Consider the following 16,504-nt stretch of genomic DNA (forward strand, 5'->3'; position numbering starts at 1 on the left):
CTGACTGCCAGCCCTACTTCCGTGTGACACCTGGGGGCCTTGCTGTGGCCAGGTCACCTCTGAGCTCTGTTCCTTTCTGAAGCAGCTCCCACCCATGGGCCTGTGGGGTCTGACTCCAAGTGCGAGCCCCTCCTCTGATGTCAGAAGGGCATGTCCCCTCCTGCCCAGGCACCCACTGGGGCTCTATAGCTTCCATTCCCCTGGCTGGATTGGAGGGGAGTAAGCCTACCCTCTCAGGCCAAGCGGGCCGCCTTCTTGTTACCTGGATACCTGGCAGCCTCTGTTCTCAGGACAACCTGTGGAAGCCCCAGAGCGAGCCAGTAACCAGGTGCCAGGTGTTTGCCTGAGAATTAATCGTTGTTTTCTTTCTTTTTCAGTGGTTGATATCACAGCAAGTATCCTTTCCGTGTTGGTATGGTTCCCTTTAAGGAATTCTCCACTTAAATAAAAAGAATGTATCAAAGCTTGAATCCCACCTCCCGACATGCCCTGTGAGTTGAGGCTCGGCCCACAGAGCACCTGGAGTGTCCCCCACCTGGCCCTCTGCTGCCCTTGGGCGCTGTGCTCCTCTTTGTGCTTCTCTTCGTACCTTGCATCCAGCTCCAAGCCCTGCCCTGCAGCAAGCTCAAGGTTCACTGGGGGAACAGGAAAACTTGGAATTTCAGGGCAGGCAGGGACGTGTGTGCCCTGCAGACCTTGGCAGGGTAGGAGCCCCAAGCTGTGGCCCTTTCAAACCGACCTTTTTCGCAGTGTCTGTACTTCCTTAACTGGACGTCACTAGATCCCGCAGTTCGAAGATGTTAAATTTGAAGCAGCAAGTCTGTTGTCTGAATTGTACTGTCAAGAGGTAAGAACATATTAAGGTTTCTGAAAGCAAAGTGTCTCTCCGTGTCGCTAAGACATGACAGCACATTGGTAAATTGGGGTTCCGGGAGTTGGAATCCCTCCGGCTTTTTTTGTTTTTTTGGTCGGGGTGGGAGGACAGGGTCTCACTCTGTCGCCCAGGCTGGAGTGCATGGCACAATCATGGCTCACCGCAGCCTTAAACTCCTGAGCTCAAGTGATCCTCCCACCTCAGCCTCCCGAGCAGCTGGGACTATAGGCATGCACCACCATGCCTGGCTAATTTTTTTTATTTGTTCTAGAGATGATCTCGCCCAGGCTGGCCTCAAGCAATCCTGCCTCGACTTCCCAAAGTGCCAAAATTATACACAGGAACCACTGTGCCCAGCCCGGTGGCTTTTAACACTCAGATTACTTTCCTGCCTCTTATGCCCCAGCCCCAGGGCTTTGGTGGGTAGCCACCTGCTAAGGAGGGCCAGCAGCTTCCTTTTCTACATAAGACTGTTGGAAAGATCAGCCTGTTCCTCACCTGACAAGTCTGTACAGTTTCTCTTCTTAATCTGGTTCCTAATTTCAATTGTAGCCGAAATCTGCCTTCCTCCCACCTCAGAATGATGACGGGTAAGGTGGCATTGGCAGCAGGGAATGTGTGTGCTTCACACCCTGATGCCTCTCTCTGGTCTGAGAACATAAAAGAAGGGAACTGGCGTCTGATTTGAGTGTTTAGAATTTTGAACTGAAACTACTTTCAGTCCAGTTGAATGAGAAGTTATTTTAAGAGTGATGCAGAAACTTCCCAGCCAGTGAGTCCAATAAAATATCTTTTTTTACTTTTAATAAAGTAAATTGGCAACCCCAAAAAATCCTTTGGTAAGCATGAACAGGAACTGCCTTCTGGCACCACAGCTGCTGCTAAGGAATCCAGCTTGATTGCCGCCTTGTTTTTTTTTTTTCTTACATTCCCAAACGTGACTATTTCCTTTCAGAATTCCGTTGATGCAGCAAAGCCGCTGCTGCGGAAGGCGATCCAGATCTCACAGCAGACCCCATATTGGCACTGCCGCCTGCTCTTCCAGCTCGCTGTGAGTACCGCGGCCCGGGAACGAGGGTGCCCGGCAGGGACCATGACCCTGGGGCACACCTGCCCCATTTGCAAAGAACAGCAGAGTCCACGATGCGCAGACCCCCTCGGGCTGGCACATGGAGTAGGTGGGGACATGGGAACATTTCCTTAACCTGCACACAAGCCCCTTTCAGCCTCCATCCTTGAGAGCATCTCTGGCTTGAGCCTGGCTCTCGGCAACACCCAGGGGTGAGTGGTGGGAGTGCGGGGCTTCCCCGGGGCCAACACTGACAGCGGGCCTGCTGCTTGTTGGGTGTCTTTGGGTTCCCCTCCCTCCCAGCCGTTCTCATCTCATCTTTGGCCTGCACTCATTGAAATCCCAGGAACATTTCCTGCCAGAGACCCACTGTGGGTTTTTTTTAGGAGCTACACTGAGACTCCAAGGGGCTGCCTATCAGGCCACAAATGGCCATGTCAAGCATTGTGTCCCACATGGGGCCCCTCACGTTGGAGGCTGCTGGGGCACACCCTCATCCTGGGATCCACACAGTTCCTCCTCATGCTCCCTTTGGCCCCCCCAGATATAGGTGAAGCCCTGGTCTCTGAGCTCCACAGTGCTCGGTTGTTGGGGGACTCTGAACTCGGCCTTCCCGGCTGCAGTGGAGGGGCCGGCAGGCTCCACCACGTGGGGCACCTCTCCTGTCCTGGGCTCCACCCATACTTCTGCACTGGGGACCCTCAGGCGGGTGGCCGGCCCCCGGCCTCTCTCTTCCATGACCCAGCCTGCCTTCCGGGCCACCACTTAGCCACCTCCCATGACACCTATGCAGTATGTGGACCCTGGGTTGGGAGTTCCTCCAGCTGAGTCCCTCACCCCAGGAGGGTCTGGCTGAGAAAAGTACGCACAGGGAAGAGCTCCCCCAGCAGCCAGGAGTTCCCGAGGCCCTCCTCCCCCAGGCCTGATGAGAAGCTGCATACACATGCTGTGTCCTTCCATCTCCCCACGCACTCTTGTGCCCATTAGCAGACAAAGGAGCAGGCCAGGCCGTGAGTCACCTCCCCTGGGCCACAGAGTTGGCAGGCACCATGTGCACGCACACCCAAGGGCCGAGCTCTTCACCACAGCCCCATAGGTATTGCCTTGCAGGGTCAAGCCAGGCATGTGCCTCCCTTTCAGCCTGTTCAGACTTTGACACTTGCCTCTGAGGGAGTCCCTCCTTGTCGGCCCTGGAACACACTAGGGACACCCCACTGAAGACAGACCCCACAAAGCACTCAGAACAGCCTTAGGTGCTCACACAGCCTTGGGGGTCTGTGCCGTGAGCCTTGGCTGCTGGTTCTATGCTCCATTAAGTTTAGATAGTGTCCACTGCAGGCACCATTCAGTTTAGATGACATATATACTACAGGCCAACTGGAGCTGTGTACCCAAAGCAATTAGCGTTGATAAGATAATTTGGTTAATTTAGCTCAAAACTGACACAGGCAGTTTCACTGACGTGGGGAGGTTTGGTTGAGTTTGCTAACAGAGCACGAAGGCAGGTACCGTAAAACTGATGGGTTTGGCAGCAAAGGTCACTGCTCTCTTTCCTTTTTAGCAACTGCACACGCTTGAGAAGGACCTGGTGTCGGCCTGTGACCTCCTGGGTGTAGGGGCCGAGTACGCCCGGGTGGTGGGATCTGAATACACACGGTAGGCACCCACTCCCCTCCTTCCCTCCTGCTCTGTTAACAGGAGGGGCTTGGCCATCTTGGTCCAGGACAAATAACAGAAATGGCATTTCAGGTGAAGTACAGTAGCTCACAGTATATTCCCAGCACTTTGGAAGGCCAAGGTAGGAGGATCACTTGAGCCCAGGAGTTCAAGACCAGCCTGGGGAACATAGTGAAACCCCATCTCCACAAAAAATACAAAAATTGGGTCCGGGCACAGTGGCTTACGCCTGTAATCCCAGCACTTTGAGAGGCTAACGTGGGAGGATCACGAGGTCAAGAGATTGAGCCCACCCTGGCCAACATGGTGAAACCTGTTTCTACTAAAAATACAAAAATTAGCTGGGCGTGGTGGTGGGTACCTGTAATCCCAGGTACTCGGGAGGCTGAGGCAGGAGACTAGCTTGAACCCGGGAGGCAGAGGTTGCAGTGAGCCAAGATCATGCCACTGTACTCCAGCCTGGCGACAGAGCGAGACTCCGTCTCAAAAAAAAAAAAATTAGTCACCATGAGGCGCGGGTTTGAGCCTGAGTTCAGGCACCCAAGCCTGCCCACTGGCCCCAACGCTGTGTGTCCACCGCCGCGTTTTTTTTTGTTGTTTTTTTTTTGTAGAGATAGGGTCTCACCATGTTGCCTAGGCTGGTCTCAAACTTCTGACCTCAAGTGATCTGCCCACCTTGGTCTCCCAAAGTGCTGGGATTATAGGCATGAGCCATTGCACCCAACCGCCTTCTGGGCTTTTCACGTGAGTGCGTCTAAGCCATGTAAGAAAAATAAATACAGGCCAGGCACAGTGGCTGACACCTGAAATCCCAGCACTTTGGGAGGCCGAGGCAGGTGGATCACATGAGGTCAGGAGTTTGAGACCAGCCTGGCCAACATGGTGAAACCCCGTCTCTACTAAAAATATAAAAATTAGCCAGGCATGGCCGGGCGCAGTGGCTCACACCTGTAATCCCAGCACTTTGGGAGGCCAAGGTGGGCAGATCACGAGGTCAGGAGATCAAGACCATCCTGTGAATGGTGAAACCCCGTCTCTACTAAAAATACAAAAAATTAGCTGGGCATGGTGGCGGGCGCCTGTAGTCCCAGCTACTCAGGAGGCTGAGGCGGGAGAATGGCATGAACCCAGGACGCGGAGGTTGCAGTGAGCTGAGATCGCGCCACTGCACTCCAGCCTGGGCGACAGAGCGAGACTCCATCTCAAAAAAAAAAAAAAAAAAATTAACCAGGCATGGTGCCAGGTGCCTGTAGTCCCAGGTGCTCAGGAGGCTGAGGCAGGAGAATCGCTTGAACCCGGGAAGCATAGGTTGCAGTGAATCGAGATCACACCATTGCACTCCAGCCTGGGCAACAGAGTGAGACTCTAAGAAAAAAATAATAAAAAAAATAAAAACAGGCCGGGCGCGGTGGCTCACACCTGTAATCCCAGCACTTTGGGAGGCCGAGGCGGGTGGATCACGAGGTCAGGAGATCGAGACCATCCTGGCTAACACGGTGAAATTCTGTCTCTACTAAAAATACAAAAAATTAGCCGGGCGTGGTGGCGGGCGCCTGTAGTCCCAGCTACTCAGGAGGCTGAGGCAGGAGAATGGCGTGAACCTGGGAGGCTGAGCTTGCAGTGAGCTGAGACCGCACCACTGCACTCCAGCCTGGGCGACAGAGCGAGACTCCGTCTCAAAAAAATAAATAAATAAATAAAAATAAAAATAAACACAGACACAATAGGATAAAACAGAGCAGTCTTGTAAGGGGACTGTTCTCTGTTGTCCACTGAACTGTCCCCTGAGGTGGCATATTAGGTCCTGTGAGCCTTGGGGTAATCACAGTCATCCCAGGAGGCTCCTGGGCCTGCTAGGACCTGACCCCTGCCTCTTGTTTTGCAGGGCGCTGTTCCTCCTCAGCAAGGGGATGGTAAGTTGAGGCTGGGCATGGCTGGATGCAGCTGGTGTTGTGGAGGTGAGGCAGGGCCCCCACAGAGTCTGCTCAGACCCCACCCACTCTCCATGGCATGGCCCCTTAGGCGCCCAGACCCTTAGGCACAGTGAGCAGCCTGGAATGTGAGGCCCGGGCCCTGCTGGGTTCAGGAGGGAAACTCAGGCTGCACCCTATGGGATTCATGCTGAGGCAAGAGCCTGGTTAGGAGCTGCCTGGGCTGGGGTTTCAGGCTGGCCTTGCCCTCTGGATTGGTGGCAGCAGTCCCAGGGCAGGTGGGCAGGTGACCCTGTGCTCCCGGTCCTGGGAGGGCCCCTGCAAGCCCTGTACCCTACACCTGCGCCTCTCCCTCCCCAGCTGCTGCTGATGGAGCGAAAGCTGCAGGAGGTGCACCCGCTGCTGACCCTCTGCGGGCAGATCGTGGAGAACTGGCAGGGGAACCCCATCCAGAAGGAGTCGCTGCGTGTCTTCTTCCTGGTGCTCCAGGTCACCCACTATCTGGATGCCGGGCAGGTGTGTGGCGCCTCTCAGGCGAGCTGCTGGTTGTGACCAGTGGGTATGGGTGGTACCCAGGCCAATGGGTCTTGGGCTGTGAGGTCAGCTGTGTCATCGCCTTACCTTGCCACACAACAGGGCTGTCATACCAGTCCCGGACACACACACTCCTGTCCTGCTCTGCCACGAGTGCTGGTATCTGGGAACAGGGTCTGTCCTGGCCACCCCACCTCCCTTTGGGAGTACTATGTGTGACATTGCATACACTCGCTCAGTGTATGGATGCTCAGAGATTCCAATGGCAGTTCAGGGAATCATGAGAATAAACCACAGAGGTGCTGGGATGGCACCTGCACACAGCAGATGCCCAGGTGCTGTCTGTCTGGCCCCCGGCTGTGGGGTTGAGTAGGGACTGATGTGCTCAGCCATGTCCGAGACTGGACTCATGACCCTGCCGTGGGTGGGGAGCGGCTGTGTTTGAGCTCCTTGTCTCTGTGCTTGTGTGACAGTCTCAGCCCTTCGGGGGCTGGGGGCTGCCCTGTGCCACTCAGACCCACCCCTGTCGCAGTGGGCCACAGGCGAGTCTCCACAGGGCTTGGTAAGGGGGTTGCCCAGTTCGTCCATCCATACCCATCGTTGCCCATTGGGTGAAGCACTGCACTCGGCGCATAGGGACACAGAGCAGACTGCAGCCACGCTTCCCTCAGGGTGCAAGGGCTGCAGAGACATCCCTCGGGGCCTCAGGGCGAGATGGACCACAGCGCCTGCCTGATTCCTGGGCCAGGAAGCCACCTCCCACCCCCTCAGAGCACAGCCTCCCCCTGCCGTCTCAGGTCTGGCTGCGTGAAGACCAAGTGCAGCTCCAGCAGGGTCTGGATAGGCCTCTCCTGGGCCTTGGTGTTGGACCCAACACTGGGCAGTGGACAAGCCTCAGTCCCACAGCTGCCCGCCTGGCTGTGCCCCATGCCCCAAAAGCCTGGCTGATTCATGGGAGTGCGGCAGGGGCGGCTTCATCTTGCAGGAGGTGGCCCTGGCAGAAGGGGAAGGCAGATGCTCCCTAGAGGAAGGAGCAGGGGTGGCTGGGCTGGGCCTGGCTTCCTGAGAGGCCAGGCTCAGGTGGATGCTCGGGTGTGGGTGCTGCACAGGTGAAGAGCGTGAAGCCGTGTCTGAAGCAGCTGCAGCAGTGCATCCAGACCATCTCCACACTGCACGATGATGAGATCCTGCCCAGCAACCCCGCTGACCTCTTCCACTGGCTGCCCAAGGAGCACATGTGTGTGCTTGTCTACCTGGTGCGTCCCCACCAGGGCCCGGGCCAGGGCTGGGGGCGGGGGCAGGGAGAGGGAGAGGGCCCTGGTAACCCCTGCTGTCTGGTCTTGTCGCTAGGTGACTGTGATGCACTCCATGCAGGCCGGCTACCTGGAGAAGGCGCAGAAGTACACGGACAAGGCCCTCATGCAGCTGGAGAAGCTCAAGAGTAAGTCAGGTGCTCGGCTGGCCACATGGCCACAGCGACCCCTGGCGGACGGCCTGGCCAGACGCTAGCTGTACCAGGGCCCAGTGACCCTGTGTGACCGCAGCGCCCAGCCACCCTGCCTGGTGGGTCTCGTCACCCCTAGTTGATAAATGCTGGTGTCCAACGTCAGAGCAGAGCAGACAGGCCTGGGGTCGGGGGTACCTCCCTGACTGGTCAGGTCCCTTGTGCCCAGTCATGCTCAGTTGAAACAGGTGGTAGCTGCTTTTCCCAATTATTATCAGTGTTGTGACAGGGACACTCGGGATGAGGCCAGGATCAGAACTCAGCCCTCACTGACCACCAGCATGTCCTTTGGAGGTCGTGAGTTCTTTCCAGATGCTCAAGTGTCTAATCCATCCAGGGACCTTTGACTAGCACAAACCCAGAGCAGACGTCCCTGGCTGGTATAGTGTGCCCATTAGTCGGTCTGTTTGCTCCCTCGTGAGTGCTGCTGGGGGAGAAGGCATCAGAGCCAAGGCAGCCCAAAGCCGGATAGGCCCTGTGCTTCTCTTATTCCCATATGAGGATGGTTGCTTGGGGCTGTTGGGAGGTGGGGCCCAGCCCAGGTCCCCCTACCCGACTGCCTGAGGCTCTGCTGCATGGTGTCATGATCCAGGGTGGTTTCCACATTTCTACATTTCTAGAACCTGCCATGTCCACAAGCTCTTGAGCACGTAGGGTGAGGGTGAGGGTGAGAGCCAACCCTTCTTGGAGCACTGTGGGAACCAACCTCTGGCTCCAGCTCCGTCTCCCCACCTGGACAGCAAGACACACTCCTTCACTCAGAGGGTGCAGTGGGGACTAGGGGAGATGACGGGGTGGGTGCCTAGCCAGTGTGGCAGGAGACAGGAACGAGGTGGGGGCACGGTGGGCTGGGGGTGGCGCCTCCTCTGGCCTCCCCTGCATGCTTACCCCTGACTCTCACCCATAGTGCTGGACTGCAGCCCCATCCTGTCATCCTTCCAAGTGATCCTGCTGGAGCACATCATCATGTGCCGCCTTGTCACGGGTCACAAGGCCACGGCGCTGCAGGAGGTAAGGCTGGAAGCAGGAGGGGCGGGAAGGCCCAGGAGTTTGTTGGGTCTCAGCAGTGTCAGACAAGAGACTGAATTCGCCAAGTGCATACTGGCAGGCCAGCCCATCCTGCTGTCTCGCTGTCGGCCAGCGTTTTACAGCCCTGCATGGGCACCACTGATCAGAGAATCTCATACAAAAACCAGTGGAGGCCGGGCGCAGTGGCTCACGCCTGTCATCCCAGCAGTTTGGGAGGCCGAGGCGGGTGGATCACTTGAGGCCAGGAGTTTGAGACCAGCCTGGCCAACATGGCGAAACCCCGCCTCTACTAAAAATATAAAAATTAGCCAGGTGTGGTGGCAGACACCTGTAATCCCAGTTACTTGAGAGGCTGAGGCAGGAGAATAGCCTGAACCCAGGAGGCAGAGGTTGCAGTGAGCCGAGATCGCACTACTGCACTCCAACCTGGGCAACAGAGTGAGACTCCATCTCAAAAAAAAAAACCCAAAAAACTAATGGGCCATGGCCCAAAAGCTTGCACACCAAGGGGATAGCGCACATGGTCTCTGGGGATTTGGGGGGTCCTTTGACAGTGATTGTTATACCCCACCCTGCCATTAGGAACACTCTACCCCCAGTACCCACCCTCCTGAGAGGGCATGGGGGCCCTCAGTAGGCTGGAGGTCCTTTACAACCCAGACACCTGTTGGACAGAGTGGAAGAGACGAGTAACAGACAAGGGTCCCTGTCCACGATGGGATCTGGGCTGCCCTTTGCCCTCATGGTGGACGTGTCTGCTGGGGCTTTGTACCCCAGTTTGGTCAGACAGGACATGGGCTCACCCACCAGCTATGGGGTCTCTCCATTGCTGCTCAGACGCCAGGTCCCAGGTTGCAGTCCTGTGATGGCAGTACACTCTCTCCCGGCAGATCTCCCAGGTCTGCCAGCTGTGCCAGCAGTCCCCCCGGCTCTTCTCCAACCATGCAGCACAGCTGCACACATTGCTGGTGAGTAACCCTGTGACAACACCCCGGGAGAATCCAGAATGTTCTCAGTAAGTAAGTACCTAACCAGATCCAGAACATTCCCAGTGAAGGACCCCCTGACAGCACCCTAATCAGAATCCGGAATGTTCCCATAGGTAATCATATAACCTTCCCAGGCACGATCCGGAATGCTCCCAGTGAGCATCTTGTCCCACCCCACATTGGCTTGGGTCTGAAAGGTGGGGACAGTGAGCATATTACCTGCCTTGCAGCTGGCTCGGTAGAGCCATTGTCATACTCCTCCAGGGCAGCCGTGCAGGCCCCGGGCACACCACGTGTCTCTGATCTGAGCCCCCTCCCCAGGGGCCGGCCCTGATGACAACACCACCTTCTTCCAGGGCCTGTACTGTGTCTCTGTCAACTGCATGGACAACGCGGAAGCCCAGTTCACCACGGCCCTGCGGGTAAGGTGCCGGCCCTCCTTGCTGCTCGGGGCGGGCCACACTTCTGAGTAAGGAGTCGGGCGTGGTCTGTGATGAGGACAGCAGTCGCGCTAGGTCAGCTATGCAAAGCCGCAGCCCCAGAGGCAATGCACAGTAGTCAGCCCATGCCAGCCTTGGCAGTGACGCGCTGTTTATCTGGATAAGGGACAGCTATGGGGCCAGGGGCTTCCTGAGCTGACCCAAGGGCAGACGTGAGGGAGAGGTGCGACGCGTCCGGGGACACCACTTTCATGCCTGAGTGGGAACTTTTGCGGCACCCACCCCCAAGGCTGGATTGGCTCAAGTGTCAGCTGACAACTCAGAGCCATCCTGGGTTCAGGGCTCCCATGGGGAGTGGTGGAGCTGGGCCATCTCCCAGGTGCTCTTTGGACAGAGGAGGACTCTTGGTCCTGCTGGGCCGGAGAGGGTGAAGCAGCACCCCAGGCTCCTGGCCTTAGACGGGGGCCCCGCCAGGCCCTGGAAGAAGGCTGGTGCCACATCCTCACGGAGCGCCCCAGCCCAGGGCTGGACCATTGTGTCCCCACCTCAGCCTCAACCTCCTCACAGGAAATGGAGGCTGTGGACACCTTTTTCCTGGTGGTGCCAGGAAGGGCCCTGAGGAGAGGTGTCAGGGAGCAGAGGCTGCTCTGTCTGCCACTCGGGCAAGGTCACCAGGGAGTCCTGTGTGCGCCCTGACTGTTGGACAGGGTTCCCATTCCACGGCACCCCGCAGGCCTGTGGGTGCTGCCACCCCCGCCACTGGCCTCAGAGATGCACAGGAGCCCTGACATGCAGACAGCATGCTTGGGAGGGAAGGGCTGACTCAGCACCCACTCCTCTGCCTCCTCACCTCGCTCCCAGGACCCTGGCTCACTCTGACTGCAGCAGGGCCAGGACCCTCCTCGTGGCCCTGCCATCCTGCCATCTCCGTCTCCGTCTCACTCCCCACAAGTGGTTGCTATTGCTGGTTTGGTTCCGCGTCAAAGTTCCCAAGGCCATGTACCCTAAGGAGTCCTCACCCCGAGGCCAAAAGAGAGCCTCTTTTTCATGGCCCACCCAGGAGTGATGGAGCCAGGATGCAACCCCAACACCCCTAACCCCAAACACACACGCCTCCTGTGGCCCTGAAACAAACATCTCCCACCTTGCTACGTCTCAGAGCATCTGTGCTTGATTCGGAAGATCCTCTGGGCCTCCTGGGTGTGTGCCAGGAGGGGATCTGTGCAGGTGGGGTCTGTGCTTCCTGGGCTCACTCCACCTCTTGCCCAGCCCCACTGGGAACCAGGGTCTGAGCAGGGCTTGAGCTACATAGATTGGACCCTCTCTTGACGAACGATCTCATTTGCCAAGAAGAGCCAGGGACCATGGCCCATCCACCACCTGTCATCAGCAGCATTTCTGGTCTCTGACACAGCATCACCTACCTGGAGCGGGGCCTGTGCTGGCCCCCTGTGGGACAACAGCTCCCCTCTTCCCCACTTCCCCCTATGAAGAGTGACCCCCGCCTAGGACCAGCATATGCCTTGATGGCAGTGGACACCTGGGTCCCACAGGTTGCTGGCTGTGGCCTGGAGGAAGGGTCCACCAGGTCTCAGTCCTGAGAGACAGTGGAAAATGGACCAAAACCCGACATGTTCTGAGGGTAGGATTGGGGTGGCTGGTTTTCCTCTTCTGTGTTCTCTAACTGCCCCGTAACGCAGATGATGGTTTTATAATGAGAAGAAGTAATAGCTGTGTTATCCTTGAGCTTAGGAGGCAAAACAAGTGTGTTTGAAATGAAAAGAACAAGTCTTTTCCAAAGTAGTCTCCGTGGAGATTGTGGGTGCTCTGACACTGCCACATGGGTCACAGCACCCGACCCAGCCCCCTAATGTCCCCGCCTCCCATTCCAGCTCACCAACCACCAGGAGCTGTGGGCCTTCATCGTCACCAACCTGGCGAGTGTGTATATACGGGAAGGAAATAGACACCAAGAGGTAGTAGGTGACATGCTTCATGTTCGGTATCCTTTCTCTCTGTTCTCTTCTTTTTGGGGAACCAGGGGGTTGTCCTGGGCACCAGCACATCTCAGCAGACCCCAGGGTGTTCACCTTTTGAGGGATGGGCGGCACCCGACACAGACACACAAGGCGACCCAGAGGTGAATCGGGCTATGGCCGGGGGAGGCCAGGTCTGGGACAAAAACATTCCCATAGCCACAGAACACTTCTCTTTATCACAAACAAACCAAGCTGTATGAATCACACAGACAAGGTCTTATAGCCCAAGCTGTCTGCTCTAGGATGTCGGCCAGGCATTGAGGCTCAGTCCTAAGGGGCAGCAGCCAGAGCACCTTGTCCCCAGGTTGTGCTGATGCCCCTGCAGGATCAGGGGCACTCACTGGCTGCAGTGTTGGGTGGGGATGCCCAGGGTTGCCCTCACGTGGCGCTTCTGAACCAATGCTTGCATAAGAGTTAGGTTCCCTCTTCTGTCCCTTTTAGCCCTGGGATCCCCACTCAGCCCTGGGATCCCCCTCAGCCCCGGGATCCCCTCCTCAGCCCCGGGATCCCCTCCTCAGCCCTGGGATCCCCCTCAGCTCTGGGATTCCCTCCTCAGCCCTGGGATGCCCACTCAGCCCTGGGATCCCCCTCAGCCCTAGGATGTCCCTCAGTTCTAGTATCTCCTTCACCTCTGGGGGTCTACCTCCAAAGTGTATCAGGCCAGGTGCTTGGCTCACACCTGTAATCCCAGCACTTTGGGAAGCAAGGCAGGAGGATCACTTGAGGTCAGGAGTTCAAGACCAGCCTGGGCAACATAGGGAGACCCCCATTTCTACAAAAAAATTTTTTAAAAACTTGGTGGGGTGCAGGCCTGTGGTCCCAACTACTCGGGAGACTGAGGCAGGAGGATTGCTTGAGCTAGGGAGATTGAGGGCTGCAGTGAGCCATGATCCAGCCACTGCACTCCAGCCTGGGCGACAGAGCAAGAACCTGTCTCAAAGGAAAAAGAAAGCCCAGCCCCGGCTTAGTCATCCGATGCCATACGTGGGCTCGCAGTGTTGAGGAGGAGTTTGGCTCCCCTGTGCCTCTGCAGCTAGAGGGCAGCTAAATTATCAGTCAGATCACGCCCCCATCAGAGCCTCCCGGGGTCCCTGCACCTCCAGAGAAATCCCACCCACTCACCCCCACAGCCCACAGGGCTCACGGGCCCCAGCCTGCCAACCTACCCACTGCCAGGCCAGCCCCTCAGCACCACTCTGACCATACAAAGGCCTTCTGGACGCCCAGGCCCCTGTCACCTACTGCAGGACAGGGTGGCACAGGCAGGGCTGGCTGAGGGTGTGGAAATCTTGCCCCCGGCCCTTCTCACCAGAGGCTGCTCTTGCTGGTCAGTCACCAGGCTCAGCCTGGAGGCCACAGTCCCGACGGGGGTGTAGAGAAATTCCCATGCACTGCAGTGTGTCTTGGGGACCTTTCTCCTGTGAAGATGCAGAATGGTGCTGACTGGCTCTTTCCCCCGCAGCTCTACAGTCTGCTGGAGAGGATCAACCCGGACCACAGCTTCCCTGTCAGGTGAGCCGCTCCAGGCACCACTCCACGCACGGCCTAGGCTCCCCGTGCTCTTTGGTTGGGGCCCCTGACTGCCCCTTGCACCCTGACACCCCATACCCCTCCTCACAGACAGTCTGCAGTGGGGGCTCTCAGAAATAGCCCCCAGCTGCCCACTGCCGTTTTGTAAACCTGCTTCTCAAAATCACCACCCCATGTGATACTGCACTCTCCCTGCAGCTCGCACTGCCTCCGAGCAGCCGCCTTCTATGTGCGTGGGCTCTTCTCCTTCTTCCAGGGACGCTACAACGAGGCCAAGTAAGTGTGGGGCAGAGGGTGGCGTGAGGGCCATGCTCAGGGTAGCCCAGGCCCCGTCCTGCAGTTATCAGCGTCCATGTTCTCCTTGTCAGGCGATTTCTGCGGGAAACTCTGAAGATGTCCAATGCTGAGGACCTGAACCGGCTCACAGCCTGCTCCCTCGTGCTTCTGGGCCACATCTTCTATGTGCTGGGAAACCACAGGGTGAGTGCCCTGGCCTGGGCCCCTCGCTTGGGTGCCTGTGGGGCTTGGCTGAGGGACAGGAGCCGGCCAGCACCCTAAGGGTGGCATGGCACTGTTCATCCTATGCCCCTCGAAGAGCACGTCTAGGTGGATGCCCTGACTCCCACAGCCTGGGCAGGCAGGGCCAGAGGAGCTGGGCACCCACAGAGGGTGTGGGGGGAAGGCAGGAGGCCTGATGGGTGTGGCCTCAGACATTGGGCAGGCAGAGCCCCAGGGCTCAGGGGAGCTGAAGCCAGAACCAAAGGAGCTGCCCTGAGCTACTGGGGATGACGCAGCCACCCCATGCTATGTGTTGACACCTGAGGGGCAGAGAGGTGTCTCCTCTCAGCCGGACTTCCAAACATATCATCCTTGGCCAACACAGTGTCCTCTCAGGGTACAAGTGGCCCCTGGGATTGGTCCCCACCCAAGGTCAGCCAGTCTCTGGTGGGACTGGCCGCCTCAGTCCTTCCTGTCAATTCCTCGCCTACTCTCACCCACTGATCTCACGAGGTCTTGAATTTTTTTTTTTTTTTTTTTTTTTTAAGAAGATATTTTGGGCAGGCACAATGGCTCACGCCTGTAATCCCAGCACTTTGGGAGGCCAAGGCGGGCAGATCACCTGAGGTCAGGAGTTCAAGACCAGCCTAGCCAACATAGTGAAACCCTGTCTCTTACTAAAAATACAAAAATTAGTGGGGCGTGGTGGTGGACGCCTGTAATCCAAGCTACTCGGGAGGCTGAGGCATGAGAATCACTTGAACCCAGGAGGCAGAGGTTGCATTGAACGGAGATCATGCCGCTGCACTCCAGCCTGGGCAACAGAGTGAGACTCTGTCTCAGAAAAAAAAAAAAAAGATGTTTTTGGGACAGGCACGGTGGCTCATGCCTGTAATCCCAGCACTTTGGGAGGCTGAGGTGGGCAGATCACTTGAGGTCAAGAGTTCAAGACCAGCCTGGTCAACATGGTGAAACCTCATCTCTACTGAAAATACAAAAATTAGCCAGGTGTGGTGGCACACATCTGTACTCCCAGCTATTCTGGAGGCTGAGACAGGAGAATTGCTTGAACCCAGGAGGCAGAGAGGTTGCAGTAAGCCGAGGTCGTGTCATTGTACTCCATCCAGCCTAGGTGAGAGCAAGACTCCATCTCAAAAAAAAAAAGGCCGGGCATGGTGGCTCACGCCTGTAATCCCAGCACTTTGGGAGGCCAAGGCGGGCAGATCACAAGGTCAGGAGATCGAGACCATCCTGGCTAACACGGTGAAACCCCGTCTCTACTAAAAATACAAAAAATTAGCCGGGCATGGTGGCAGGCGCCTGTAGTCCCAGCTATTTGGGAGGCTGAGGCAGGAGAATGGCATGAACCAGGAAGGCGGAGCTTGCAGTGAGCCGAGATCCCACCACTGCACTCCAGCCTGGGCAACACAGCAAGACTCCATCTCAAAAAAAAAAAAAAAGATATTTTTGGCCAGGCACAGTGGCTCATTGCTTGTATCCCTTTGGGAGGTGGATGGGGGAGAATCCCTTGATCCCAGGAGTTCAAGACCACCAGCCTGGGCAACCTAGTGAGACCCTCTTTTTTTTTAATTTAATTTTATTTTTTGAGGCCGAGTCTCACTCCGTCACCCAAGTTGGAGCGCAGTGGCATGATCTCAGCTCAGCTCGTGGTAACCTTCACCCCCTGTAGGCTCAAGTGATCCTCCCACCTCAGCCTCCCAAGTAGCTGGGGCCACAGGTGTGTGCCACCATGCTCAGCTAATTTTTTTATTTTTGGTAGAGACTGGGTCTCCATGTTACCCAGACTGGTCTTGAACTCCTGAGCTCAAGCGATCCACCCACTTCAGCCTCCCAAAGTGCTAGATTACAGCATGACCCACTGTGCCTGGCCCTAGAGATGCTATCTCTTAAAAAAAAAAAAAAGATATTTTCCAGCCAGACACAGTGGCTCAGGCCTGTAATCCCAACACTTTGGGAGGCAGAGGTGGAAGGATCATTTGAGCGCAGGAATTCAATATCAGCCTGACCAACATAGTAGATCTGAGATCCCATCTCTACAAAAACCAAACAAAAAAATTAGCTGGGTGTGTGGACTCATGCTTGTGGTCCCAGCTAATTGGGAGGCTGAGGTGGGAGGATCACTTGAGCCCAGGAGGTTGAGGCTGCAGTGAGCTGTGATCATGTTACTGCACTCCAGCCTGGACAACACAGTGAGATCCGTCTCAAAAAAAAAAAGTTATTTTTCTAGATTATAAAATATGACATGTTCATAATTAAAAGGCTGAGAAGCAAAACAGAAAAAAATTGCATGTCTCTGTCATCCATCCCTTCCCACTGCCCACGTCTCCCACGTGGAGGTTTTGCTTGTCAGCCTGTTTGGTAATTTTTTT

At 56.5% G+C, this 16,504-nt stretch overlaps 1 protein-coding gene across 6 annotated transcripts in view, besides 6 other annotated features; it reads left to right on the forward strand.

The window, feature by feature from the left end:
* MAU2 (MAU2 sister chromatid cohesion factor) overlaps window positions 1–16,504 on the forward strand; it is a 37,926-nt gene that overhangs the window by 14,512 nt on the left and 6,910 nt on the right. For 2 of the 6 annotated variants that reach the window (NM_015329.4, XM_011527844.3), the window contains exons 2-16: window positions 378–395; window positions 782–847; window positions 1,830–1,925; window positions 3,505–3,599; window positions 5,506–5,533; window positions 5,912–6,067; window positions 7,195–7,341; window positions 7,436–7,526; window positions 8,497–8,600; window positions 9,509–9,586; window positions 9,964–10,029; window positions 11,940–12,026; window positions 13,549–13,598; window positions 13,815–13,892; window positions 13,985–14,096. In NM_015329.4, coding sequence (NP_056144.3) covers window positions 378–395; window positions 782–847; window positions 1,830–1,925; window positions 3,505–3,599; window positions 5,506–5,533; window positions 5,912–6,067; window positions 7,195–7,341; window positions 7,436–7,526; window positions 8,497–8,600; window positions 9,509–9,586; window positions 9,964–10,029; window positions 11,940–12,026; window positions 13,549–13,598; window positions 13,815–13,892; window positions 13,985–14,096 — 1,272 coding nt within the window. Of the gene's footprint in view, window positions 1–377; window positions 396–781; window positions 848–1,829; window positions 1,926–3,504; window positions 3,600–5,505; window positions 5,534–5,911; window positions 6,068–7,194; window positions 7,342–7,435; window positions 7,527–8,496; window positions 8,601–9,508; window positions 9,587–9,963; window positions 10,030–11,939; window positions 12,031–13,548; window positions 13,599–13,814; window positions 13,893–13,984; window positions 14,102–16,504 lie in introns of those variants that run through there. The other 4 variants (XM_005259837.4, XM_006722711.3, XM_005259838.5 and 1 more) reach the window with 4 other exon arrangements.
* Window positions 343–1,542: an enhancer, noted in NCBI's record as "BRD4-independent group 4 enhancer chr19:19446492-19447691 (GRCh37/hg19 assembly coordinates)". NCBI's record gives its function as "activates an origin of replication core promoter dependent on BRD2, P300/CBP, MED14 and CDK7 cofactors, and independent of BRD4, by STARR-seq in HCT116 cells {active_cell/tissue: HCT116}" and the evidence as "EXISTENCE:reporter gene assay evidence [ECO:0000049][PMID:35650434]".
* Window positions 1,568–2,069: an enhancer, noted in NCBI's record as "H3K4me1 hESC enhancer chr19:19447717-19448218 (GRCh37/hg19 assembly coordinates)". NCBI's record gives its function as "activates a minimal SCP1, AML or CMV promoter by ChIP-STARR-seq in naive and primed H9 embryonic stem cells {active_cell/tissue: H9 hESC(naive and primed)}" and the evidence as "EXISTENCE:reporter gene assay evidence [ECO:0000049][PMID:30033119]".
* Window positions 6,697–7,205: an enhancer, noted in NCBI's record as "H3K4me1 hESC enhancer chr19:19452846-19453354 (GRCh37/hg19 assembly coordinates)". NCBI's record gives its function as "activates a minimal SCP1, AML or CMV promoter by ChIP-STARR-seq in primed H9 embryonic stem cells {active_cell/tissue: H9 hESC(primed)}" and the evidence as "EXISTENCE:reporter gene assay evidence [ECO:0000049][PMID:30033119]".
* Window positions 7,315–7,404: a silencer, noted in NCBI's record as "silent region_10437". NCBI's record gives its function as "represses an Ori minimal core promoter by ATAC-STARR-seq in GM12878 lymphoblastoid cells {active_cell/tissue: GM12878}" and the evidence as "EXISTENCE:reporter gene assay evidence [ECO:0000049][PMID:35858748]".
* Window positions 7,445–7,584: a silencer, noted in NCBI's record as "silent region_10438". NCBI's record gives its function as "represses an Ori minimal core promoter by ATAC-STARR-seq in GM12878 lymphoblastoid cells {active_cell/tissue: GM12878}" and the evidence as "EXISTENCE:reporter gene assay evidence [ECO:0000049][PMID:35858748]".
* Window positions 13,592–14,092: an enhancer, noted in NCBI's record as "H3K4me1 hESC enhancer chr19:19459741-19460241 (GRCh37/hg19 assembly coordinates)". NCBI's record gives its function as "activates a minimal SCP1, AML or CMV promoter by ChIP-STARR-seq in naive H9 embryonic stem cells {active_cell/tissue: H9 hESC(naive)}" and the evidence as "EXISTENCE:reporter gene assay evidence [ECO:0000049][PMID:30033119]".

Source organism: Homo sapiens, chromosome 19 (assembly GCF_000001405.40).
Source record: "Homo sapiens chromosome 19, GRCh38.p14 Primary Assembly".
In the NCBI taxonomy this organism is placed as follows: Eukaryota; Metazoa; Chordata; class Mammalia; order Primates; family Hominidae; genus Homo; species Homo sapiens.